Consider the following 27,188-nt stretch of genomic DNA (forward strand, 5'->3'; position numbering starts at 1 on the left):
GGAGGAATCTTATCTGACCTCTTCTCTTGCTGCACAGAACTGCTGGTTCTTTAGGTTACTTTTTTAAAAAATTGTTTACTGCCACTGTCTGTTTTATAAATTTATAAATGAATGTCCACACTCATTCATTTACCTATTGTCTGTGGCTGATTTAGCACCATGGCAGATTTGAATAGATGCAGCAGAGGCCATATGATCCACAAAGCCAAGAAGATTTACTATCTGCTTGTTCACAGAAAAGTTTGCGGACCTCTCATTTGAAGGATGAATTGTGTAGTTGTTGGGGGCTTGTATTAGCTTCCTAGGGTTGCTGTATCAAACTACCACACACACGGTGGCTAAAAACAACAGAAATTTATTCTTTCACAGATCTGGAGACTGGAAGTTCGAAATCAAGATGTGGGTGCAGGGTTGGTTCCTTCTGAAGGCTCTGAGGGAGAATTCGTTCTATGCTTCTTTCCTAGCTTCTAAAGCTTGCCACCGGTTCTTAGCACTCCTTGGCTTATGGAAGTGTCTCTGATCTCTGCCCTCATCCTCACATGGAGTGTGTCTCTCTGTGTTCACATGGCCTTCTCATAAGGACAGCAGTCATGGGAATAGGGCCCGCCCTCATCCAGTATGGCCCCATCTTAACTAATTACAACTACAAAGATCCTATTTCCAAATAAGGTAACCCTCTTTTTTTTTGAGATGGAGTTTCTCTCTTGTCTCCCAGGCTGGAGTGCAGCAGTGCAGTATCAGCTCACTGCAACCTCTACCTCCTGGGTTCAAGTGATTCTCCTGCCTCAGCCTCTTGAGTAGCTGAGATTACAGGCGTGTGCCACTACGCCTGGCTAATTTTTATAGTTTTAGTAGAGACAAGGTTTCACCACATTGGCTGGGCTGGTCTCGAACTCCTGACCTCAGGTGATCCACCTGCCTTGGCCTCCCAAAGTGCTGGGATTACAGGTGTAAGCCACCGCGCCCGGCCCAAATAAAGTCACTTTCTGGGGTTCCAGGCTGACATGGATTTATGGGAGACACTGTTCAGTCCAGCAGAGGGCTATACAAACTTATGTGGTTGTGTTAGCATTCTTCAGAGGCTTAACCAAAAGTCCTGTGGGTGTGGAAGTATTTTCAAACAATCTTAATGTGGTAGCATATATTAAGGTGAACATGTGGTCCAGTTCAAATTCCTCCTCACCCCTCGCTCCTGTCCTACCCACATCTTCCCCACCTTCCTTTACCTGACCCACATTTCTCAAAATTGTGGCTCTTGTTGGATAAGGAAAGGGATAATATTTTTTTAGGGGGGATGGTGGTGATGAGGAATTTTATTTCTTATAAAATCATTTCTATTATATAATTGAAAAATTAATATATATGCCCACTGAAAAATTAAGGTGATTCAAAATGGTATCTAGTGAAAATTATTCCCCTCCATTTCTATTTATTATTTATTTATTTAAGAGAGAGAGTCTTGCTGTGTTGCCCAGGCTGGAGTGCAGTGGTGCAATCATGCCTGGGTAATTTTTAATTTTTAAAATTTTTTGTAGTGACAAAGGGGTCTCACTGTGTTGCCCAGGCTGGTCTTGAACACCTGGCCTCAGGCAAACTCCTGGCCTCCCAAAGTATTGGGATTACAGGCATGAGCCACTGTGCCTGGTATCCCCTCCAATTTCTGACCCCTGTCATTCTGGCTACCTTCCCCTGAGCCAGGCTGGCTCTGTGGGCCTGTGATCTGGGATACCACACAGGACCCCATCCACAGGAGGGCTCTGTACTTGTTTAATGTTCTCCTATTGCTGTCTTGAAATTCTCAACCATTTTTGAAGGAAGGGCCTCATGTTTTCATCTTGCACTGGCTCTTTTGAATTCTGTAGCTCGTCCTACTCTGAGGCAGCCAGTGTTGGCAATTTCGTGTTTGGGTTTGCAGAAATTTTCTATGTAGATTTACAACTGAATGTCATTTAAAAAATCAGAGTGTATCATATACGACTTTGTTTTCTTGACTTAATAACTGCATCTCAGAGTTCACAGTATAGCTGCCCATGCTTATTTTATTTGTTTTAATTTTATGATAGGGTCTCACTGTGTCACCCAGGTTGGAGTGCAGTGGCGCAATCATAGCTCACTGCAGCCTCAAACTCCTGAGCTCAAGCGATCCTCCTGTGTCAGACTCCTCAGTAGCTGGGACTACAGGTGTGCACCACCACACCTCGCTAATGTTTTTTATTTTTTGTAGAGATAGGGTCTCACTGTATTTCCCAGGCTGGTCTCACACTCCTGGCTTCAAGTGATGCACCCATCTTGCCTCCCGTAGTGTTGGGATTATAGGTGTGAGCTGCTGTGCCTGGCTGCCCCATATTTTAATGTCTGCAAAATGTTCCATTGTGTGTGACAATTTTTTGGCTTGGTCCTCTAATGAAAAACATTCAGGTTGTTTTCAGCCTCTCCCCCTTACAAACAGTGCTGTAGGAATTATCTTTATACATAACAGATCTTTGTATCCGGTATGAGTGTGTATATATATATGTAGGATAAATTCCTGGAAGACATCTGAGTTAAAGTACATACGCGTCTCACATTTTGATCAATATTGGCAAATGCTCCTCTGTTGCAGTTGTACTAGTTTACATTTCCACCAGCTGAGTTTGAGAGTGGCTAGTTCTCCGTGACTTTGACAACACTGTGCATAGCATACTTTTGCAACTTTGACAATCTGTTTGGTAAAACATGAATTCTCATTGCTTCTACCTGGATTTCTTTCTTTATGGGTAAATTGAACATCTTTTAAAACTACATTTATAAATTATCTGTGCTTTTTCTATGATTTACCTATGCATATTCTTTGCTGTTTTCCAATTGGGTTATAGGTAATGTTTACTGGTTTGTAAGAGTCTTTGCATATGAAAGAAAGTAGCCCTTTGACCATATGTATTACTTCATTCTCACGCTGCTAATAAAGACGTACCCAGGACTGGATAATTTATAAAGGAAAGAGGTTTAATTGACTCACAGTTCAGCATGGCTGGAAAGGCCTCAGGAAACTTACAATCATGGTGGAATGGGAAGGAAGCATGCCCTTCTTCACATGACCACAGCAGAGAGAAGTGCAGAGTGAAGATGGGGAAAAGCCCCTTATAAAACCATCAGATCTCATGAGAACTCACTCACTATCATGAGAACAGCATGAGGGAACCACTCCCATAATTCAGTTACCTCTGACTGGGTCCCTTCTATGAGACAGATTATGGGAACTACAATTCAAGATGAAATTTGGGTGGGGACACAGCCAAACCATATCACCATAGATGTTGCAAATATTTCCTCCACATTTCTTACTTGTCTTTTGACTTTCAAAAGGGATTTTTTTTTTGCAATGCAGAACTTAAATTTTTTTTGTGTAGCCAAATATATTAAATCTTTTCTCTTTGTGATTCCTGAATTCAGATTTTTGTTAAGGAAAGCTTTCTGTGCTCAGAAATTATCAGAAGAATCATCTCATGTTTCCTTCTAGTACTTTTCCAGGGAAAATAAGATTTTAAATGTCTTAGTTTGCTTATTTTAATCATCCTTTTAAATTTAAGTGAGTTACAGTAGACACAAGATTAATGTAGGTGTCCACCAATGTTAACTCCTAGGATAAAATTACTACAGTTATTTTCTGCTATAAAAAAGAAGATTTCAAAGTCATCTCTTATCCCAGTTTGCTGTGATCTAGTAATTTTTTTTTCATTTTAATTGCGGAGGAGAAAGAAAAGGTTTTCCAAATAATGACTGCTATTTTTAAGATGTATTTTCCTATAACAAATATGGATCTAATGAAATAAATATACAAATTATTTCATGTTTAACTGTTTCTATTCTTTTTATTTCTACCTTCAGAGAAGTATTTGTAGTTTACCTTATGAGAAGCTTTGCTTAATTTGCTTTTCTGTGGTCTATGGACACACTTACAAAAGTATATTCATGAAGAAGAGGGCTTTGTTTCCAGAAAGTAGGTAAAAATGATTATTTTTATTTGTATGCTCAGATTTTAAAAGGAGACTCAAAAATTCTGAAGGATATGCAGGCTCAAAATAATGTTAGTCTAGATAGTCAATGTCTCTTTCTACATGATTAAAATGTATATAACTATTATTTAAGTGGTCTCCCTGGCTTCTGAAGATTCTTGGTCAGTCATATGCCATGCCTGATGATGGCAGCAGGTGGAAGGAGACCCCAGAGGCAAGCAGTAGATTTCATTGGGCAGTGAGGGGATTGGACATCAAGGGTAGTCCTCAGTGCCTTCCTGCCCCTGCCAGTTTGAACTTCTGCTACTCTATGCAGAGCAAATGAAGATATTATCCTGAGAGCCAGGGCAGACAACTGTTAGATTGAGAAAGGAGACACCACACTGGAAGCCAGGCACAGTTGAGGCCAGGCTCCCCGCCTGACAGAGGAATGTGAACTGGAAAGAGCAGACACATCTCTTGATGACAAGTTGGCATCTGTGCATTTTAGCCCAGGTAAGGGCCGGAGTGCCTGCCTGGGACCAAGATAGCCTGGGCCTGACTGAACACAAACAAAGAAGACCTAGATCGTTCAGCACAGAGGTGCCCATTTAGCAGAGGTATGAGTGTCTCCGGGTACTCAGGGCTGTAAGGAAACACAGGATGCAAACCCAGTTAGGGTGGGGAGAGGGCTTCTCAACATATCGATGTTACTGAACAAACTATGTTATGTTCCTAAAATTTATTCTGAAATATGCCGTATGTGATAAGAAATACATAATTTAAAAAGGAGTGATACAGTGAGCAACCATTGTATGCACTATCCAGTTTAAGAAGGACAGTATACTATTACCAGAAATGTGGAAGCCCTCTGTGTGCCTCTCTCCCTGATCCCATCCCTTCCCCTCTGCACCAGTGATAGTCATTGGAAAGAAAGGGTCTTGCTTTGTCACCCAGGCTGGAGTGCAGTGGCACGATCATGGCTCACTGCAGCCTCAACCTCCTGTACTCGATCGATCCTCTTGCCTCAGCCTCCTGAATAGCTGGGACTATAGGTGTGCAGCACCACACCTAGCTAAATTTTGTATTTTTTGTAGAGATGGCATCTCCCTATGCTGCTGAGGCTGGTCTTGAATTCCTGGGCTCAAGCAATCCTCCTGCCTTGACCCCCCAACGTGCTGGGATTACTGGTGTGAATCACTATGCCTAGACCTTATTTTTCATTTAAAAACCTTTGTCTTCTTTTACCTCCCTGAATATGCACATAGTTTACTATGACACATGTGTTCCCATTGCAATTCCTTATTCCCAAACAAATATAATTTTCTTTTAGAGAGCCTCTTGTTCATCTGGGAAGCTTGCTAGGCTTGGGTTCTTCTCTGTGGGAAATGTTTCAATTTCCTTAATGAATGGACTGTTTAGGCTTTCTACTTTTTCATAAGTTGGTTTTCATAATTCTGTTTCTATAAATTCTAAGATGTCTAGTTTTTTTTTTTTTTTTGAATCAGGGTCTTTGTCTGTTGCCCAGGCTGGAGTGCAGTGGTGCCATCATGGCCCATGGCAGCCTTGAGCTTGTTTTTAAGTTTTAAAGTCTAGTATAACATTTTTTTTCAAAAGTAAGAGGAAGGTACAGAAATTTCCCATGTACCCCCTGTTCCCACACATGCAGAGCCTCCCCCATTATCAACATCCCCCCAAGTTTTAAATAAGATATTCTTAAGACCTGTTTAAAATAGGTAGTTATGTCTTCTCTTTATTCCTAATGTTTCTGTTGTGTCTTCTCTGATTTTTTTTTTTAAGTTTATGTTGTTCATAGTTTTTTGTTCGTTTGTTTGTTTTTGGTCTTTTGGCTTATTGATTCTTTCTGATCTCTCTATACTTATATCTTTATAGCTAATTTTTCTCTTATTTTTAAAATTTCTGCCCTTGCCTGTATCATTTTTTCCTTCTATACACTTTTTTTTCCTCCCCTTACCTTAATGTTCAGTTAGATGCTTAGCTCACTTTTAACCTTTTTTTCTTCTCTAATGTCAATATTTAAGGCTAGAAATTTCTCACTGAGTACTGTCAGTTCATTCCATATATTTTGATATGCAGTATTTTCTTTTTTTTAAATTTAATTTTATTTATTATTATTATTTTTTGAGACGGAGTTTTGCTCTTGTTGCCCAGGCTGGAGTGCAGTGGCCCGATCTCAGCTCATTGCAACCTCTGCCTCCCGAGTTCAAGTGATTGATTCTTCTGCCTCAGGCTTCCTGAGTAGCTGGGATTACAGGCGCCACCACGCCCGGTTAATTTTTTGTATTTTTAGTAGAGACAGGGTGTCATCATGTTGGCCAGGTTGGTCTTGGACTCCTGACCTCAGGTGATCCACCAGCCTTGGCCTCCCAAAGTGCAGGGATTATGGACGTGAGCCGCCATGCCCAGCCTGCAGTATTTTCTTTATTGTTAAGTATAAATGTTAAGATATTTATACCTTTCTTTTTTGACCCATGTATTGAAATTATGAGTACATTTGGAGTTTCTTCTACTTTATTATATGCTTTTAATTTTTCTCAGTTTTGCAGTTTTTTTAATCCTTTCTTGATGTAATTTTACTAAAGTCTCTTTTTTCTAATTTTATTTTCCCCTTTACTCAATTCAAATAATCTATCCTTTTAGTGGTTAACTTAGCTATTTTAACATACATACTTAAATTAGTTAAAGATAATCAGTAACCTTACTTTTGTCCCAAACTTTTTTTTTTTTTAAAGCCAGAGTCTGGTTCTGTCACCCAGGCTGGAGTGCAGTCGTGCAGTCTTGGCTCACTGCAGCCTCCACCTCCCAGGTTCAAGCAATTCTCCTGCCTCAGCCTCCTGAGTAGCTGGGATTACAGGCACGCACCACCATGCCCTGCTAATTTTTTTGGTATTTTTAGTAGAGATAGGGGTTCACCATGTTGGCCAGGCTGGTCTTGAACTCCTGAACTCAGATGATCCGCCCACCTTGGCCTCCCAAAGTGCTGGGATGACAGATGTGAGCCACCACACCCAGTCTGTCCCAAACATTAAAAGGGCCTTTAGACACTTTCACCCTAATCACTCTGTTTACATGTGTTTGGTTTTTCAGTATTTCAGTTGGCCTCTCATCCTGCTTCACAAATTAGGCATTTCTATTTGTTGGTTGAACAATCAATGTTTGTTCAGATTTAGATTTACCCACATATTTACTATTAATTTTATCTTTACTTCTTGAATCTGAGATATTCCATCTGGAATTATTTTCTTCTTCCTGAATACATCCTATAAGTTTCTTTAAGTGAAGTTCTCTTGGTGGTAACTTCTCTAAGTTTTTGTTTGTTTAAAAAAAGGTATTTTCCAGACAATGTCTTTCTTTCACCTTCATGCTTGAAAAAATAGTTTTACTGAGTCTGGAATTCTGGGCTGATGTTTATTTTTTCTAAACACATTGAAATTATTATTTTACTTTCACCTGGCCTCTAAGTTGCTATTGAGAAGTCAGCTGTCAGTCTCATCACTATTCTTTTATTGGGAAACTTTGTTTTTTCCTTTTTCTTTTCCTCCCTTTCTTCTTCTGTCCATTCTGTCTCCTTTTCTTCTTCCTCTTTCTCTTCGTCTTCTTCTTCCCCTCTCTCTGGTTGCTTTTAATAATATTTCTCTACGATGTGTCTAGGTTTAGAGTTATTTTTATTTATCTACTTTAGAATTATTGATTGGGCTTCCTGAGACTAAGGGTTGTTATCTTTCAATAAGTCTAGAAAATTATTAGTAATTGGCCAGGCGAGATGTTGCACGCCTATAATCCTAGCACTTTGGGAGGCCGAGGTGGGAGGATTGCTTGAGCCCAGGTGTTGGAGACCAGCTTGGGCAGCATAGTGAGACCTTGTCTCAAACAATTAAATTAACAAAAAAAAAATGTTTAGCAATTGTATGCTTGAGTTTAGGTTTTCCCCTATAATCTGTATTTGCTTCTCCAAGAGCTCCTATAAGACATCTGTTAGCTCTTCTCACACTGTTTTCATACAATAATATTTCCTCCACATTTTTCATCTTTTTTCCTCTCTAGATTATTTGTTGTTTGTTTGTTTGTTTGTTTATTTATTTATTATTTTTAAAAATAGAGACAGAGTCTTGCTATGTTGCCCAGGCTGGTCTTGAACTCCTGGGCTCAAACAATCCTCCCTTCTCTGACTCTTAAAGTGCTGGGATTATAGGCATGAGCCACCACACCCAGCCTGGATGATTTCTTTGACTGCATCTTCCAATTAGCTAATTTTCTCTTCACGTGTGTTTGTTTAATCCACATATTGGGTTTTACAATTCCGCTATTATATCTTTTTATTTTCAGGAGTTCTTTTTGGTTCCTTTCTAAATTTGCTTGATTGTTCTCTCTAGGTATTTATTCTGTTTTCGAGTTTCTCTTTTATTTCACTAAATATATTAAATATAGCTGTTTTATATTCTTTGCCTGATAATTCCAATATCTGATTCTGATTTTTAATTCCACCTTCTGTTATTTCTTCATGCTCTCACTATGTTTTCTTTTTATTCCCTTATTTATATTGTAACTTTTGGCTTCAAACTGCTCATTTTTAAAAACTTTATTAGTGGCTATCTTAGTCTGTTTTGTGCTGCTAAAACAGAATACCACAGACTGGGTAGTTTATAAACAATAGAAGTTTATTTGGCTCATAGCTCTGGAGGTGGAAAGTCCAAGATCGAGGGGCAGCATTTGATGAGGGCTTTCTGGCTGCATCAAACATGGCTGAAGGTATCCCAGGAGCAAGAGAAAGGGAGAGCCCAAACTCACAGCCTCAAGCCTTTTTATAAATGTCATCAATCAGTTCATGAGGGTGGTCCCCTTATGGCCTCAACAGCTCCCCTTAGGCCCCACCTCCCAACACTGTTGCATTGGGGATTAAGTTTCCAACACAAGCTTTTTGGCGGAGACATTCAAATCACAGCAGCGGATACTGTTTGAGGCCTGGGGTTTATTTCTGCTAGTTTCCTTAGAACTGTATCAAACCTAGACACATCTTAAACTCAGATTTCCTTTTAAGATTTTTTAGGATCACACATGGCATGGGAATTTGAACTGCAACCTCTCATGAATTCTACTTGTGGTTATAAATTCTCAGAGGAGAATATTTTCCCCTTCACCCAGAAGCAAAGTTGAATCAGGGAAGTTTCCTTCCATTCTGTTCTGCCTGGTGGGGTATTTTCTCATTCATATTTACTTTGAAGGCAGAACCCTCTGAAGTTCTGGTGTGTGTGCTTTATGAAACTCCCCAGCTTGACGAGGCTCCGGGCTTTATCTACATCCCCCTTTTTCCTCTTCAGTGTCAAAGTGATGGTAAAGGTGTCATGTGTGTGTCAGAAACTCTCAGCATGATCGGTGGCTTTGGTGTGTGCTTATTCTCAGGATTCACGCTCTCACTGGCTGGACTCTTTTATGCCAGGTCAGCAGTGTATTTAAATTTTTTTTTTTCTTAATTGGGTTAAAAATTTTCTTTGAGACAACTTTTAGGGCCTCTAATCTGCCATAGTAGCAGAACTGGGAGTTGAAAACCTGTTTTATGTTCATTATTTTCTACATATATTTGGTAGCATCAAGTCAAAGATAATGATGAATTGTTCTTCAGCCTTCTGAAATTCTGAAGAAGGTATTTGGTCTTAAATTGAAGCAAAAGACTAGTTCACTCAACTATAATAAAACCTTTCTTGCCTCGAAATCTAGAGTTGGCCAACTAAAGAAGTTTTCAGAACTTTATATATGGAATTTCTGGGAAATAGCATAGATTTACTTTATTACATTTCACCAACTTACTGCTACTACTATTAACGTGTTATCTCATGTAATCTTTTAACAATGATTAGTAAGTGTGTACTCTGGGAATCAATCAGAATTTCTGATACCAAAGTTCCTGCACTTACTCATGATGTTATATTCCTTTCAACCAAGATTTGAGGCAGCTTCCAACCATGTATTCAGTATAAAAGAATAAAATTAATCACTGAGAGACTTGAGGCAATGGATAGGAAAACAATAAAGCTTTGAATAAGAGTAACACACAGGAGGCTGGGCATGGTGGCTCACGCCTGTAATCCCAGCACTTTGGGAGGCTGAGGTGGGTGGATCATCTGGGGTCAGGAGTTTGAGACCAGCCTGGCCAACATGGTGAAACCCCGTCTCTACTAAAAATACAAAAATTAGCTGGGCATGATGGCATGCACCTGTAATCCCAGCTACTCAGGAGGCTGAGGCAGGAGAATCGCTTGAACCCAGGAGGCAGAGGTTGCAGTGAACCGAGATTGCACCACTGTACTCCAGCCTGGGAGACACAGTGAGACTCTGTCTCAAAAAAAAAAACAAAAAACAGTAACACACAGGAATACATAATACTTTTTTCTCAACAGCTGTGACCTGTATTTGGTGTTAAGATTTTGTGGGTTTTTTTGTGAGTCAGGGTGTTGCTCTGTTTCCCAGGCTAGAGTGTAGTGGCACAATCACAGCTCACTGCAGCCTTGATCTGCCAGGCTCAAGTGATCCTCCCACCTCAGCCTCCCAAGTAGCTGGGACCACAGGTGTGTGCCACCGTGCCCGGCTAATTTTTGTATTTTTTGTAGAGACAGGGTCTCACCATGTTGCCCAGGCTAGTCTTGAACTCATGTTCAAGGAATCCTCCCACCTTGGCCTCCCGAAGTGCTGAGATTAGAGGCATGAGCCACCACGCCTGGCTGGTTTTAAGCTTTTTGAACATACACTAAGAGTAGGGTAGGCAAAGAACAACTAAGTTGGTTTGTGTGTTGCCCTGTAGGACAAACACCTGTGACTTTGTGAGCCTTTTTGCAACACTGTTGAAATTGCATCAAGGCCCTGATGATGAAGATTGGCAGTAATAAAGTAGTCTGGGGGAATATCGTTTATGTTTTAATTATAAAAATTGAAACTCTTCTAAGCTATTGACAGCTGCATTACTGGGAAGGTGGTTTAGGGCTGGACCTGCCTGGTGAAGGACTGGCCCTGGTAGGATCTGGATGGGGTGGTAGCTTCATTGAGCATCAGATTTCAATCCACTACCAAGTTTCCAATCACTCCAGTTGTTCCTATTTTGCCAAAACAGTCGCCCTCTATGTCCCCCATGGTCTTGTGCCTGTTCGTATTGGGAGGGCCTGAGATGCATCTGGGCCCTTAGAGATACTTTAATCACAGTATGGACAGCCTGTATCATCTCAGTCTCAGCTGATCAGGGACCATATGCATAGGGCCAGATTATAAGTAAACCAGCTAGTGGTGTGAAACTTGGAAAAGCCATTTACTGTGTATATTTGGGTCTTGTCAGCAATTCCTGAGCATGGGTAGGGGTGTGTGTGTGTGTGTGCTCTTGCTGTGGTATACAAGCACAATGAAAGTGTATAAAAACAAATGTAAAGTTCATGGTTAGATTTCTTAACTCTGGAGGTTAGTCATCTTTGATAAAGCAAACTGGGATGACTTTTTGTGTGAGCTCCTAACTTAAGGACTAAGAAATACAAAAGATCAGTTTCCGTAAATAAACTGGCTCACAAGTGTGCAGTAGTTTTAAACTTTCTTTTTCTTTGCTTCAAGGATTTTGACTCTTTCTTCTCTGCAAAAGAAGAGAATATTATTTATTCCTTCCTTGGTTTGGCTCCTCCTCCAGACTCAAAGGTAAGTTTGAACAAACTCCATTGGGGTTCAAAACAGGTAATACTAAATGAAGGTAGAAATCACCGCATCCAAGACTGTTTAATACATGATGATCTCTAAATTAACATTACTTTAGTACACTTCTTATTCTGATGCAGTCCTATGCATAGAGAGAATGCAGTTTTTACTAAAAAAAGTTCCAAAATTATGCTTTTCATATTTATGCTGTGTTTTCACCTTGTTACAATAAATTTTATAATACCTAAGTTAGGAAATATCATTACTTTGAATAATCTTAAGTGCATTCATTAAATATGTAAACATTTGAGCTCCTAGGTTGTGTTTATACAATTATTTTGTTTTGAATTGACTTCTCATATAGCTTTATATGAGTTAATTTCATAATGATATATACCCTTACATTATTTCTATTTAAATGAACCAAACTACATTTTGGTCTCATAAAAATGGGACAGGTAAGATCTCGATTCAACGACAAGGTAGGTTTTATCAGATTTTTTTCTTCCAGTGACGTCTCATCTTTGATTATGTATAATTAAATAGAGAGTTATGCTAATAAAGCAGGAACCATGAATTTGACTTGTGTGCATGTTTAATTCATGTGACTTGCTAAGACTTGCTGATGGATTGAATGTGGATAGGGATGGATTCCATGATGACTTCTAATCAGTGTGTGTAAAAATCCACTCTGAGAGAGGACCATATTGAGGGGGGAAGTTAAGTTTGAATGAGACAGCTGAGTGAAGAAGTGAGGTAGGCAATTGCATACTGATCTGTGTCTCTGCAAAGTCTGGTTGGAGACACACACGTGGAAGCTGCGAACGCATGTAGATGGAGCTGAAGTCATGAAAAGTGGATGAAACAGAGTAATGAGAGAGTTGACAGGATGGAGACCAGAGTGGGGGTGGAGGTGGGACTTCAAGTTTAAAGTTGCCTGGAAGATGAGAAACCAGTTGAGGAGGCTAAGATGGAGAGTAGGGAAGGCAGGAGGAGACCAGGAGCGTGTGGCGTCATGGAAGCCCAGGAGGAGCTTGGCTCTTTACAGAAGAGGGTGATGTTAGTTGTGACAAATGCGGCTGAGAGATTGAGTCAGGTGAGGCCATAAAAGTGACCACTGGCTTTGATGACATGGAGGTCATTAGAGGCCATGACAGAAGTAGTTTCTGAGGAGAGGTGGAAGCAGATGTATGTGGTCTAGACAGAGTGGTCTAAGGAGGGCTGGTAGTGAGAACGAGGGACTATGCATAGACAATTATTTTGGGGGAATTTTCCCACAGAGTGAAAGAGAAAAATGGCAGACATCATTGTTTTAAAAAATGCCCTACTCCTTCCCACCACTGGAAATTTGGGCAGAGTCCCTTGCGTCCCTGCTTGCTGCCGGTTCCCTAGCTTCCTCTCTCCTCCCTATGTTCTGGAAAGTTCCCCCATCTCTGTTCTTTACCCAAGCTCAATCTCTCGTCTTAACCCAAGTTCTCTGTCTTTCAGTAGACATCTCCCGTATTCCTACTACTTCTCAATCCCCTTCTTCCAGACCCCAGACCTGTGGGTGGTAGGAGGGGAGAGTCTAGTTTTTACAAAGGCCCACTAGGGGGTTATCTAAACAAAAGGGAATTTTCTATCCTTGGTCAATAATAATGTGGCAAAGCTTTGAAATGACTTTTTTTTAACCTTTTGTAGGTCAAATTTTTGACAGAGTTACTGTCTTCACCAAGAGTCCCAATAAACAGAAGGGGAGACGGTAGTAGAAAAATATATTTTCTGTCTGTTCATCACAAATTCCAGGAATCATGTCTTCCTTATTTCTTCCCTTTGCAATATCTTTTTATTTTTTATTCCTTTTTTTATAGCATTAGAATCTTTTATTTTTTCATGTGGCTATAGCCTTCATGATGATCATTTAAAACTTTTGTCTGATACTCTATTACACTGATGTATCATAATTGACTTCCTTATTCCTATATGTTTAATTTTTACTTATTATTGTGTCATAAACATGTTTATGCTATTATGGTGTCATAATGTCATCTAAATATTTTGTATAATGTTCCATCAAGTTGATGTGCCATGCATTTAAAAAAATTTTTGTTCATTTATTTATTTTTTAGAGACAGGATCTTGCTATGTTGCCCAGGCTAGTTTTGAACTTCTGGGCTCAAGTTGTCCTCCTGCCTCAGCTTTCCAAGTAGCCAGGACTACAGGTGTGAGCCACTGTGTCCAGCATAATATTTTTTCACTATGCTTATATTTTTGAACCTGGGGTTGCTCATTATTTTTAATTACAAATAACTCTGCACTGATTTTCACCATGAAATAGTATTCTTTATTTTGGAGTATTTCCTTAGGATAAATTCCCGGTAGCTCTTTCAGTGAGACAAAAATGCACACAACTTTTTATGGCTTTGAACGTGCCTCCAGATTACTTTCTGGGAGGATTATAACATTCATCCTGCTGCACTGTGGTGGACCAGCTTCACTGTACCTTCCAGATATGAGCATTTTAATGACCTTGATCTTAGGACCATTAAATTGTATTTTAGAAATTTGTTTCTGGTTTTACTGTGCTATGAGGAGGGAATTTGGTTTTGATAAATGTCTGTCTTAAGTGTCTTTGTAACTGAATGTATATTTTTTCATTTTTGTGTGATATTTTATTTTTTAAGTTGACAAATAAAGTGTATATTTACCATGTACAATGTGATGTTGTGAAATACGTATACATTGTGGATTGGCTAAACTGAGCTAATTAACATCTGCCTTTCATTGAATACTTTTTTTTTGTGGTGAGAACACTTAAAATCTACTCTCAGTGATGTTCAAAACACAGTGCATTGTTATTTGCTATAGTCACTATCTTGTAAAATCAATATCTTGAACTTATTTCTCCTAACAGACTATTTTGCTATAAAAGATTGTTTTCTGAATATTAAAAAAATAACTTTTTTCAAATATTACATATATGATATTGGAAAGGTCAAATAGTCCTACAAAGATTACTTTTTAAAAAAACAGTCCTGCTAAACATTTCATGCCAGAAAATGCCTTATATTTTCCTGCTTTAGTCTGCAGTGTGCTTAGGTGCAGAATTCCAGGCTGGACGTTGCTGCACCTCAGAACCGGGAAGGTGCCGCTCCATCATCTCTTCCCACTTCCAGAGCTGCTCTGAGATCACGTCTGATGCCAGTCTGTCTCCAGATCTTTTTATCTGCCTATTTTTGTCTTTCCCAATTCTGGGAGATTTTAGGGTCCAATTTTTTGGTTTTGAAGTTGTACGATGAGGTAGCTGGTAGAGGTCTTCGTTATTTGTGCTGGGCATTTGCTGGGACCCTTTAATTTGGAAGGTCATGTGCCTTGGCTCTGAAAAACAAAATGTTAGAGGACTTCTATGCGGATTCATTTCCAGTTCATTTTCACTTTCTTTTCTTTTTGGAATTCTTCTTATTTAAATGTTGGACCTCTTGGATGAATTCTCTAATTTTCTTATCTTTTCTCTCCCATTTTCCATATTTTTGTATTTTTCTGCTTTCTGGGATATTTTCTTAATTTTCTACCTTATCTTCCCTCTATTGGTAGTTTTTTTCCATTTCTCCTATCAATCATATCTGAACTTCTCAAAAGCTCTTTTTTGTTGTTATCTCTGCATGTTCCCTTATTAAATAGCTTCCTATTCTTATTATGTAGGTTCATTATTTTTCTTAATTCTGAGTTTATTAAATATAGTTTTCTTTTACATCTTCTTCAACTCATTGCATTCTCTGTTTTCTCTAATTCTGTTTCTTCTCTGTTTGCTTTGCTTTCCTTTTTATTTTTATGTAAGTTGTTTTCCTCAGATGTTTGGTGATCTTTGACTGTTTGTATTTAAAACAAAGTACTGAGCTGGCAGTGGTGGGTGCATGTCTGTATTCCCAGCAACTAGGAAGGCTGAGGTGAGAGGATTGCTTGTGCCTAGGGTTTCGAGGCCAGTCTTGGCAACATAACGAGGCTATGTGGTGGTGGTGGTGGAGGTGGTAAGGGTGGTGGTGGTGGTGGTGGTGGTGGTGGTGGTGATGGTAGTGCTGGTGGTGATAGTGATGGTGGTAGTGGTAATGGTCATGGTGGTGATGGTGGTGGTGGAGTGGTAGAGGTGGTGATTGTGGTGGTGATGGTGGAGATGATGGTGGTGGTGATGGTGGTGGTGGTGACAGTGATGGTGGTGATGGTGGTAGTGGTGGTGAGGTGGGTGATGGTGGTGGTGATGGTAGTGGTGGTGATGTTGGTGTTGGTGGTGGTGATGGTAGTGGAGGTGGGGGTGATGGAAAGTGGGAGATAAATCTGGCTGCCAGTGTTCTAGAAGCAAGTAGGGAAGGGAATGGAGGGTCTCCCCTTTCAGAATGTGAACTTCTTATATAGACCCCTTGTTTTCAGTATGGTTGCCTACTTCAGCTGGCCTCATGCCCAGGAGGTCATATTTCCTCTAGTTCAGCTTCTACAGAGACAAAAACTGCTTATTTAGAAGGGGACAGTCACTTGCCGTCCAGGGATGAGGAGGGAAACTAAATCTACTTCTTCTTTCTCTCACATCGCTCTTTGTAAGCAATTAGGTTTCAGATTTTTTCTGGTTAAGTCAATTATTACTCAACGATTCCCTTTACTGCCTTTGAATTTCCGTAGACATTTTTTTTTTCCTGCAAAAAGACTTCTTGTCCATTTACCCTGTTCTTGTGAATTTATCCTTTTCTTTTTAACATCTTTGTTGTATTGTCAGTGGGGCTCTGGTAAGAAGCCAAAGCAAATATCTGTTTTCAGCTTCTCATGATTAACTAGAAACTGCCTGTAGTTTTCAATGGTCCCAGTCTTCCTGAAAAGGAACTATCATCCCCTGTTATTCCATTAATTTCTTTCCATATGTTGGTTAATTTAATTTAATCTATTTTTAGTTACATAATTTGAGATTAAGGATTTTAATATCTTTGCTCTTTTTAAAAAAATAGTTTTATTGGGATATAATTCACACACCACACAATTCACCCATTTAAAGTGTACAATTCAATGGCTTTTAGTATATGTAGAGTTGTGCAACCACCACCACTGTCTACTTCCAAAATACTGTAATCATCCTTAAAAGAAACCCAGTACCCCTTAGCTGTCACCCCCTAATTCAGCCATTCTTCCTGCCTAGGGAACCACTCAAATGCTTTCGTTCTCTGCAGGCTTGCCTCATCTGAGCATTTAATGCCAGTGGAACCATACACCATGGGGTCCTTTGTGACTGGCTTCTTTCACTTGGCATCATGTTGTCAAGGCTTGTCTGTGTTGTAGCAGGTGTCAGCACTTCTTTCTTTGTTAGGGCAGACTACTATCCATGGCACGAATGGATGGACTGCATTTTACACATCCATTCCTCAGTGGCTGGGTATTTGGGTTGTTTCCACGTTTTGGCTATCATGAATACTGCTGCGATGACCATTTGTGTATCTTTTGTTTAATCGATTTCCAATACTTCTACAGTTGCTGCTTTGTATCAGAATCTCTTGGACAATTTTAAAAAATTCAGATGCCTGAGTTTTACTCTAGACTTACTGACCCTAAATTACCAGGGGAGAGGCCCAGGGATCTACATTTGCAAAAAGTCCCTTAGTTGATTCTGATGCTCATTTCTGTTTAACAACCACTACACTGGAGACTCATTTAACTAATATTCATGTATATGCTTCTCCAGAATGAATGTGGTATCTTATTTGCTTTAGTTAAGAAACTCAAATAGGCAGGGAAATTGTAAGGCCACTTTGTTCCTTTCCCCATTCCTGATTCTCTCCTGCATTCATCAATTTGGTATCTCTCTTTCCACAAGCAAGACATCTTTTTGTGCTGTATTTTCAATGCCTAATTGTTATATTGTATGAAATCTGCTTTTTAAAAAGACACCATGGACATTTTATTAATATTTTTAAACAACAATAGTAGTAGCAGTCGCAACAAGAACAAACTCTTAGCCAGGCATTGTGGTTCGTGCCTGTAATCCTAGCACTTAGGAAGGTAGAGGCAGGAGGATAGTTTGAGCCCAGGCATTTGTGACCTGCCTGGGCAACATAGTGAGACCCTGTTCTCAAAAACAAACAAAAACAAACAAACTCCTAGAGGGCTAGCAACTTAACAGATATTGCGAAGCTCCAAATGAAATTCCAGCCATTAAAAAAAGTAACTCATATAATAGCATTAATAGATGTCAAAGAAAATATATGGATAAGTGAATAATGAGGCTGACAAGTTCAAGTAGATTGCTCCAGGTCACAAGGCTCATAATCTGTAGACCTAGAATTTGATTTCAACATTTTCTGATTATTAACCCAGTATCCTCTTCACTCCCTTGTGTTTAGGGCTACATTTATAGAAAACCTATCTACGCTTAAGTCTATTAAAATTAAAAAACTCATTTGTCACATATATAGATAACTATCACCCCAATATTTTACTCTAAAATTAATAATTAAAAGAGAAGATCCAAACATTTTTTTTCTGCCTTTTAAACTAGAATCTATAATTCATACCTGGTTGTTGAGAGTAAACTTTTTGTTGTAGGTCAAATATCGAATAAATGATAGAATTAGAAAAATAACCCGTTTGCCAAAGCCAATGTAATAATTGATTACAGCATAGCTAATGAATAGATAATAAAACTGGGTAAAAGGCATTAGGTGAATTTGTTTCTTGGGGGAATCAGTTAAATTTCCTGTGCTAAAGTATTAGCCCCGCCAAACATTATTTGCTAAATTCAAAGGGGAAACCGATCTTTATAATAAAGAGATCTATTGGTCACAGCCTTAACAAAGTAGCCAAACCACTGTCACTACTAATGGGACTCACTGATATCAAATGCTGCCTGTTGCAAACGTGAAGTCCATAGTCTCACCAGTCAAGTGTTCTTGCTAAATCATTTCACCTGCATCCAATCCAGTCTCCAGCTCCAAGTTCTAGTCTATAAAAAACACAGAGGAAGAGGAGCAAGTTAAATAATATCACAAAGAAAGAATCAGACAAAACAAAAATTTGGAACATTCTTCAAGATAACTGACCCAGATTCTTAAAACATTCAGTGTCATGAAAGAAATAAATAAAAAGAGATGGAATTGTTCTAGACTAAAATAGACTGAGGAAATATGAGAATCAGATGCAATTAATATGTTTTAAGAGGTTCAAGTCTAAAGAAAGTAACTGTAAAATATTTATTGCAGGCAACTTGGGGAATTTGGAAAGGAATTGGATATTAGATGACATTAGGGAGTTCTTGTTAGTTTTCTTAGATGTGATAAAAATACTGGAGTTACGTAAGAGAATGCCCTTGTTTTTAGAAGATGATACTAGAATATTTAAGGGTGCAGTTTGATAAGACAGATGAAAATGTTAGCAAGTGTTCAATCTATGTAGTTCATCTTTAAAAGCTTTTCTTTGTCTTTAAAATTTTCATAATGAAGAGCTGGAGCAATGCTTTTTTTTTTGAGACAGAGTCTCGCTCTGTCACCCAGGCTGGAATGCGGTTGCGCAGTCTCAGCTCACTGCGACCTCTGCCTCCTGGGTTCAAGCAATTCTTGTGCCTCAGCCTCCAGAGTAGCTGGGGTTACCCGTGCCCGCCACCACGCCCAGCTAATTTTTGTATTTTTAGTAGAGACGAGGTTTCACCATGTTGGCCAGGCTGGTCTCGAACTCCTGACCTTAGGTAATCTTCCCACCTTGGCCTCCCAAAGTGCTGGATTACAGGCATGAGCCACTGCGCCTGGCCTGGAGCAATAAGGATTTGGAGCTAAGCATATGGCAATGTTGTATTGCCTTTGCTCTTATTAGTTAAAAGCCCTTAAAATGTCCTAGTCAAAACTTGAGGAGGATTGCTCTAAATGGAGAAGAACACAACTCAAATAAAACTTGTTTCAAGGCAGAAAGACACACAAATGGCAAATGGCCGTGTCCAAAGTTACTATGTCTAAAGCTGCTTTAAGTTTTACAGGGAAAAAAACAGACTTTAGAAAATTATGTGGAAAAGTTAGAGCAGATGAACTTATTTTCCAGTGTGCAGAGTGTCCAGGATCAATCTCATATTTTCAGCAACAAAAATAAAATAAAATAAATGGTTGGAAGTTGATCAACATAGATATTGCCATTTTTCTTTCTCTGAGATAATGACTTGCCATTCATGTCTAGGGACATCCCACTTCCTAGACCCCTTCTCTTGCATTTCTCCTGAGAAGTCTCAGAGTTCACCTCTCTTCTCATCGAGGCTTTTGTAGTCCTGGTATTTCTTTCCATCCATAATCTGTCTCATTCAGCATGAAATGAAGAGGAACTCCAGTGGAAAAGAACATATGATTCAGTTAGAAAACCTTACATACTTTTTACCTGCTGACCCTGAATTTGGGGGCAAGATTTTTAACGTTTTCCCAGCTATAAAATGAAGAGAGAAATATGACCACCTACCTCTTAGGGGTATTTGTTTTATAATTTATTCTTTCAAGAGAATTTATTTGCGTACATGCTGGGCCAGACACTGGGCTGGTTGATTGAAGGGACTTTATGGTCTAGAGGAATAGTTAGATGTGAGCATTCTGTAAGTAGATAAAATAACTGTCTATGTGAATATGGAGATGGTCCACCAATCTCAGGCCTTATATTAAGTCTCCGAAAAGAGTTGATACCTCACTTGGTATTGGAAGATTTAGTAGGAGCTCAGTAAGTGGAAAAAGATAGTCAAGACACTATGGGAAGATGGATTTATACACTAAGGCAATGAAATTTATGAGAGTATGTTTCATTCAGTGAAGTCATACTTTGGATGGAATCAGAGGTTTCAGTAGAACCCAGGATATGGAAGTGGGTAAAGATAAGAGCTGAGGCAAGAAAAGTTAGTAGGGATGATATTGTAAAGGGCCTTCTGTGTCTGGACTTTTTTCTTGGCAATGAGAATGATGGGAAAAGGTCAGTGTGGAGTGATTTACATTTCACAAAGCCTCTGACTCAGACAGCAACACAGAAGATTGTTAGAGATAAGATGCAGAATCTGGGACTATATCTTTCATATTTACATCCTCAGAGCCAAATACAGCTCATAACTCGTAGTAGGTGTTCACCTCTGAAATTCGAGGCAATAATTAACTGGGGTACCAAAGTCAATGAAACACTCCGGAGATATTCAGCACCATTCTTCAAATTGAATGTAAATGGGACAGGTTTGTTTATTGTAACTTGCTATTTTAAAAAAAATTATATTTTGAGATCTATTTATACTAATACGTATAAATCTATTTCAGCCTCTGCTGTGTTTTATCTTATCTCATTTTTATTTTAATATCTAATCTCCGTTTTTAGATCCTACCCTGATTTGTGCTCAGGTACTGTCATATTATATAAAACTCTTGTTTTGTGGAAGAAAGGGATGGCCACAGGATTATGAAACCTGGCCTAGAGATACCTAAGAGGCCGTCCAGTCCAGATTCTTCTCTTCTGAGAGAAGCAACATGAAGCCCAAGGAGCTTAAGTGACTTGTACAAAGAACCCCGCTAATTAGCAGTACAGTTCGTGCTAGAGCCTTTGGTGCTGTCAGCATTGCTTAGGTTGATAGGTGTTTATACTGTGCGCAGGGACAGAGTACTTCCAGTATCCTTTGAAAAGACGACATCTGATTTATGGAAACATTACTTATCACGGTGTCATGTTGTAGTAAACAAGATTGTGGAAAGGTGTCAGCAAGGAAAATTAATCTCACTCAAGCTAAAAATAGGTACTCTTGACAATTATGTAGAAAATGCATGCTCATAAAACGTATCATCATATGCAGCATCATTGCTTTTAGAACATTTTTCTTGTCTTAGACAGGCTGTTCTAGGCCAAGGACCAGACCAGTTTTCCCAAGAGGGCTTTGTAAGTAAGCATTGGTTCCATAAAGTCAACCTTAGTTCTTTAAAAGCATGTGGTCATATCTGATTAAATGAACATCATTCTTAATAGGACATGGCAGGCAGGACCTAGGTTACATAACCAATGTTTTCAATTATGCCCTGGCAAGAAGGAAGACAGATTCTTGTTGAAGTTATGCAAATAAGTATATTGCCAAAAAATATATATGTATTCTGATTGAATAAGCAGATTCAATAAGAATTTTTGAACTCCAGAGGAATCGGGCAGGGAGAATAAGAGGTCATTTACAAGTGATTCATTTCAGCTTACAAAAGCAGAATCTACAACATTATTATGATGTATGGAAAGCTTAAGAGAAAGCAAAAAGGGCTTCCTTATATATAAGGAAAATAAGACATTAAAATAACATCAACAGTATTCCAGACAAAAATTACTATCATCCCTCACCAATTCATTTAATCCTATGTAATTAATTCCTATTCCACTGGATCTTGTGGATCTTGGGTTAGTCGTCTAATGAACCCATCTGCTTCTCAACAAAAGTTCTGGAAAATTTGACTAAGTCCACGGATATGGTCTCAAAGTTGTTTTCTTTTTTTTTTTTTTTTTTTGAGACGGAGTCTCGCTCTGTCGCCCAGGCTGGAGTGCAGTGGTGCGATCTCGGCTCACTGCAAGCTCCACCTCCAGGGTTCACGCCATTCTCCTGCCTCAGCCTCCTGCGTAGCTGGGACTACAGGCGCCCGCCACCACGCCCGGCTAATTTTTTGTGTTTTTTAGTAGAGACGGGGTTTCACTGTGTTAGCCAGGATGGTCTCGATCTCCTGACCTCGTGATCCGCCCGCCTCGGCCTCCCAAAGTGCTGGGATTACAGGCGTGAGCCACCACGCCCGGCCGGTCTCAAAGTTCTTTAAGCAATGCCATCAGAAACCTGAACCCAAATGTATTTAACATATAACCCTTTACTGTGGGGCTCTGAGCAGTCATTCTTCATGAAAGATGAAGCATTTTTGCTTGTAGCTCATTACAAATAACTTCAGGGAAGCATCAAAGCAAAACATGCTAACAAAAATATCTGTAGATGACAAAAAACTTAAAATGGGTGCCATTTATTCATTGCTTATAATTTTCAAAAGTGAAAGTCTAGAAAGTCATAACAAGAATAATATATTTGATGAGAAAATTTGTTGTTTTCTGTGACATGCAAAACGAAACTATAAAATCAACCCCCCAAATTTTAGACAAATTACTTATAAACATAATCATTAGGCCTATTTCAAAGAATACAGAAAACATTATATCTAATTTACAACAATAAGTGGGCATAGCAAAAATCTTGATGTAATTATTCAGAGACATAATATACTCTGACTATACCAAGCATATGATAAGAATATCAAGAAACAAGATGTAGTAGGTCTGGAGTAGGTCCTAAACATCTATTTATTAATAAAACTGTATGAGTATATGATGGGAATTCCCAATCGAAAAACACTGTTGTAAAACATGCTAGATTCAGATTAAAGAAGGATCAAGTTAACATTTAAAACAACTGAAGTTATGGTTGATAACTTAAGCACCTGTTGTCTGATACCAGGCAAAACAACAATATAATCAATGTCTTTTTATTTTTATTTTTTATTTTTTGAGATGGAGTCTCTGTCACCCAGGCTGGAGTGCAGTAGCACAATCTTGGCTCACTGCAACTTCCGCCTCCCAAGTTCAAGCACTTTCCTGCGTCAGCCTCCCAAGTAGCTGGGATTACAGGTGTGTGCCACCACGTCCAGCTAATTTTTGTATTTTCTTAGTAGAGACGGGGTTTCAGCATGTTGGCCAGGCTGATCTTGAACTCCTGACCTCAGATAATCTGCCTGCCTTGGCTTTCCAAAGTGCTAGGATTACAGATGTGAGCCACCACATCCAGCAATCAATGTCTTTTAGTACATTAATTTAGTCAGGGGAATATTATTATATCAATGAAAGACATCCAGTTATTTAGGCAATTAGATTTGCCCTTAATTGACAGAGATATACACAGCCATAACAATGTTTTTTTGTTTCTGTTTTTTGAGGCAGGTTCTTGCTCTGTCTCCCAGGCTGGAGTGCAGTGGCCTGATCACGGCTCACTGCAGCCTCGACCTTCTGGGCTCAAGCGATCCTCCCACCACAGCTTCCCTAGTAACTGGGACCGCAGATATGCACCACCATGCCTGGCTAATTTTTGTATTTTTTGTAAAGACAGAATTTCACCATGTTGCCCACACTGGACTTGAACTCCTGGGCTCAAGTGATCCTCCCACCCCAGCCTCCCAAAGTGCTGGGATTATATACAGGTGTGAGCCATCATGCCTAGCTGTCATAGCAGTGTTAAAGTGTTACCTTTACAGATTGCTGTTGGTGTGTAACTCCTCAGTGCCAAAGCTTATACATCCCAGCGAGGGCTGTCCTTCTCATGGGAACCACATTAGGAAGTTCTAACATTCCAACAGCCAGACAAACATTGCTCAAAAGAGGTTTCAAATCCCTCTATTAGAGTCATAGTAACATCTTCTATTGGAAGATGGATTTTCTTGTAGAACACATTTCAGTCTAATGAATAAGGCAGGGATAATATATCTGGATCATGTAACTTTTGGCCAAAAGTGACTTGTGATGAAAAGTTTTGAGATTCATTTTCCGGTATCACTAGCGAGTGCCTATTGAAAGCATTTTTGAGTAATGGCAAAATATTTAAGTAAGTGTGGCATTTCCTGGTGACCTGAAGGAGGAAGGCCAAACTGGACAGAGGACAGGCGACTTCACTTGAAGGAGTACAAAAGGAAGAAGCAGAAGGAGCTTTGGAGGAACATTTGTTGAGAAGCATAAAAGATATGAATTTGGAGCACAAAATTCATTCAAAAGATGTTCTGGAATTTTCTAATTTGAAACTACAAGATGGGTCCTTACTGCAGGAAAGGGTATGATATCTCACCAATTCATTTAGTCCTGTGTAATGAATCCTCATTCCACTGGATCTTGGGCTAGTAGTCTCAGGAAGCCATCTGCTTCTCAACTAAAGTTCTGGAAATTTTGACTAAGCCCACTGGTATGGCCTCAGTTCTTTAAGCAATACCATCAGAAACCTGTACTCCAAAGTTTCTAGCATATAATCCTTTATGACAGGCTTCTGAGCAGTCATTCTTCACGGAAGGTGATGCATTCTGGCCTGTAGCTGAGCAGAGCTGAGCAGTCCGACATGTAACTTCATTGAGAACCAGACCGCAGAGTTCAAGGAGGCCTTCCAGCTGTTTGACTGAATGGGTGATGGCAAGGCCCTTACAGCCAGTATGGGGACATGACGAGGGCCTTGGGCCAGAGCCCCACCAATGCCGAGGTGCTCCAGGTCCTGGGGGAACCTCAGGAGTGATGAGATGAATGTGAAGGTGCTGGACTTTGAGCACTTCCTGCCCATGCTGCAGACTGTGGCCAGGAACAAGGACTAGGGTGCCTAGTTTTAGGATTATGTCCGAGTCCAAGGATTATATGGAAGGTCTTTGGGTGTTTGACAAGGAAGAGAAGGGCACCATCATGGGCGCTGAAATCCGGCAAGTCCTTGTCATACTGGGTGGGAAGATGACAGAGGCAGAAGTAGAGATGCTGGCGGCCGGGCATGAGGACAGCAATGGTTGTCAACTCTGAAGAGCTCGTCTGTGTGGTGCTGAGTAGCTGGGCACATTCCCAGCATCCCCCCAGCCCTGTCCTTTGCCCTGTGAGACACTGTGTATCTAGCCCCGAAGGCTTTCTGGTCACAGCACCCTTCCCATCTTGTCTCTTTTGGATAATGCTTGCCATGAGCATTCACCAATAAACTTGTTCTCTGTTCCCCCCAACCCAAAACCCTCAAACAAACAAACAAAAACTACAAGATGAGCAACAGAGAGAATGAACAGTGTTCAGGCCTCCATTCAAGAAGACCAGAGGGAAGAAGGCATCAAACATAAAATAAAACACAAAGAAATAGAAATTGTGAGTGAAAGGTACAAGTTTGCAAGTCAGATGCTAGAGACCTGATATGTGCACGAGAGGAGTTCCAGAAACAACAAAAGACCAGATGGAAGAGGGCTAATCATTCGAGAGATGCCAGGGTCTTCCAGTTGGAGATGCTGCTGCAGCCCCCTCCATCCCCTTATCTTATGACTGCAGGAAAACCAGAAAGGGTGCTGCCTGAGGACTAGAAACTATGGGAGAATCCCTGAAAGGTTAGAAAGCAAAAACATTTGGTTTGAAGAAGGAAATCAAGGTCCAAATGCCTGTCAGAGATGGGAGTGGCTCTGTGGGCCCTGCACAGCCTCAGTGGTGTGTTCCAGTTGCAGGAAGGGCCTGGGCATGGGCTTGGAGCTTGAAAGGCAGAGCCCACTTCCATCCTGCTCTTAGACCTGGCAGGGGTCAACACAGTGGTCAACAGAGTGATCAACAGGGCAGGGCAGTGAGCACTGAGTTGGGTGGGGAGGCACAGCAGGTCTGAGGGAGGTATTCTTACTCCAGAGGGACAGAGAGAAGTTTAGATACTGGCAGTCAGCCTCAACCCTGGCTGCACATTAGAAATCTCTGGGGAGCTGTTAAAGCTATTAGGTTGGTGCAAGAGTAATTGCGGTTTTTGCCATTAAAAATAGTATGCCAGGGCTACATTTGAGAGCAATTAAGCAGAAGCTTCAGTCAGGGAGCTCCCAGGTGAACCTAATGTTTTATCAATGTGGAGAGCCACTTCTGTAAAGGAAAACATTGAATAATAGTGAAATCAAGAATTGTAAACTATCTTGGAAAGATCTAGGAGTTCTGGTATCACTAGTGAGTTCATCACTGTGGATGGAACTATGTGAGAAAGGAGATATAGGAAAATATCCATTACAAGGATTCTGTTCATGGATGAGGGTATGGAGAAAAGAAGGGAAATAAGTGTAAGTGTTCGAAAGGGCGCATCTCAATTGCAGGTGAACTATCTTGATGGGAACCCATGTATTGTGTAACTGTGAATGTTAATAGAGAATTATGTTTAATGATGACTATTATGAATAGGAAACTAAACAGTAGTGAGATAGAGAAGCATTTCAGAACATTTATGTTAACAAGGCCGGGAGGCAGAGCTGAGGAAAACAGAGTGAAGAGAAACTTTAGCCAGCAATAGTAAGGAAAGGGAAAAAGCATAAGAGAGAAGACAGGCTGTCATGAATTAATACAGCAGAAGCATTTGAACTAACTATATCAGTTGTTCTAATAAATTTGAAAAGGCTAAAATTCCCTGGAAGAAAAGAGACGATCCGTTTGGATTTTTGCACAGCTGTTCTGCAGTTGAGAATATCTCCGACCATGATTGTGCATTTTCTGTTCCTCCCTTTAATCCTGTCAATTTATTCTTCTTGTATTTTAAAAATTTATATTATTAGGCACATTTGTATTTATAATTGTTACAGCTTCTGTAATTATCAGCTGTCTTTTACAATTTCTGGTAACGCCCTTTGTCTTTATATCTGTATTATATAAAGCTACTCTAGATTTCTTATGCTTATGGTTTGCCTGGGATAGTTTTTCCATCGATTTCCTTTCAACTTCCTATGTCTTTGTTTTTATAATATGTTTTTTGGAGACAGCATCTGATTGGGTTTTGTGCAT

At 39.8% G+C, this 27,188-nt stretch overlaps 2 protein-coding genes and 1 pseudogene across 8 annotated transcripts in view; all 3 read left to right on the plus strand.

The window, feature by feature from the left end:
* GET1-SH3BGR (GET1-SH3BGR readthrough) overlaps nucleotides 1-27,188 on the plus strand; it is a 135,179-nt gene that overhangs the window by 83,227 nt on the left and 24,764 nt on the right. For all 3 annotated transcript variants that reach the window (NR_146618.2, NM_001317744.2, NM_001350300.2), the window contains one exon: nucleotides 11,583-11,663. Coding sequence is in view for 2 of the 3 variants with exons in the window: in NM_001317744.2 (NP_001304673.1) it covers nucleotides 11,583-11,663 (81 nt within the window). In the remaining variant the exon portion in view is untranslated. The remainder of the gene's footprint in view (nucleotides 1-11,582; nucleotides 11,664-27,188) is intronic.
* Nucleotides 1-27,188, plus strand: part of SH3BGR (SH3 domain binding glutamate rich protein) — a 69,642-nt gene that overhangs the window by 17,688 nt on the left and 24,766 nt on the right. For all 5 annotated transcript variants that reach the window (NM_001317742.1, NM_001001713.1, NM_001317741.1 and 2 more), the window contains exon 3: nucleotides 11,583-11,663. In NM_001317742.1, the coding sequence (NP_001304671.1) occupies nucleotides 11,583-11,663 (81 nt within the window). The remainder of the gene's footprint in view (nucleotides 1-11,582; nucleotides 11,664-27,188) is intronic.
* Nucleotides 24,757-25,403, plus strand: MYL6P2 (MYL6 pseudogene 2; annotated as a pseudogene).

Source organism: Homo sapiens, chromosome 21 (genome assembly GCF_000001405.40).
Source record: "Homo sapiens chromosome 21, GRCh38.p14 Primary Assembly".
NCBI classification, from domain to species: Eukaryota; Metazoa; Chordata; class Mammalia; order Primates; family Hominidae; genus Homo; species Homo sapiens.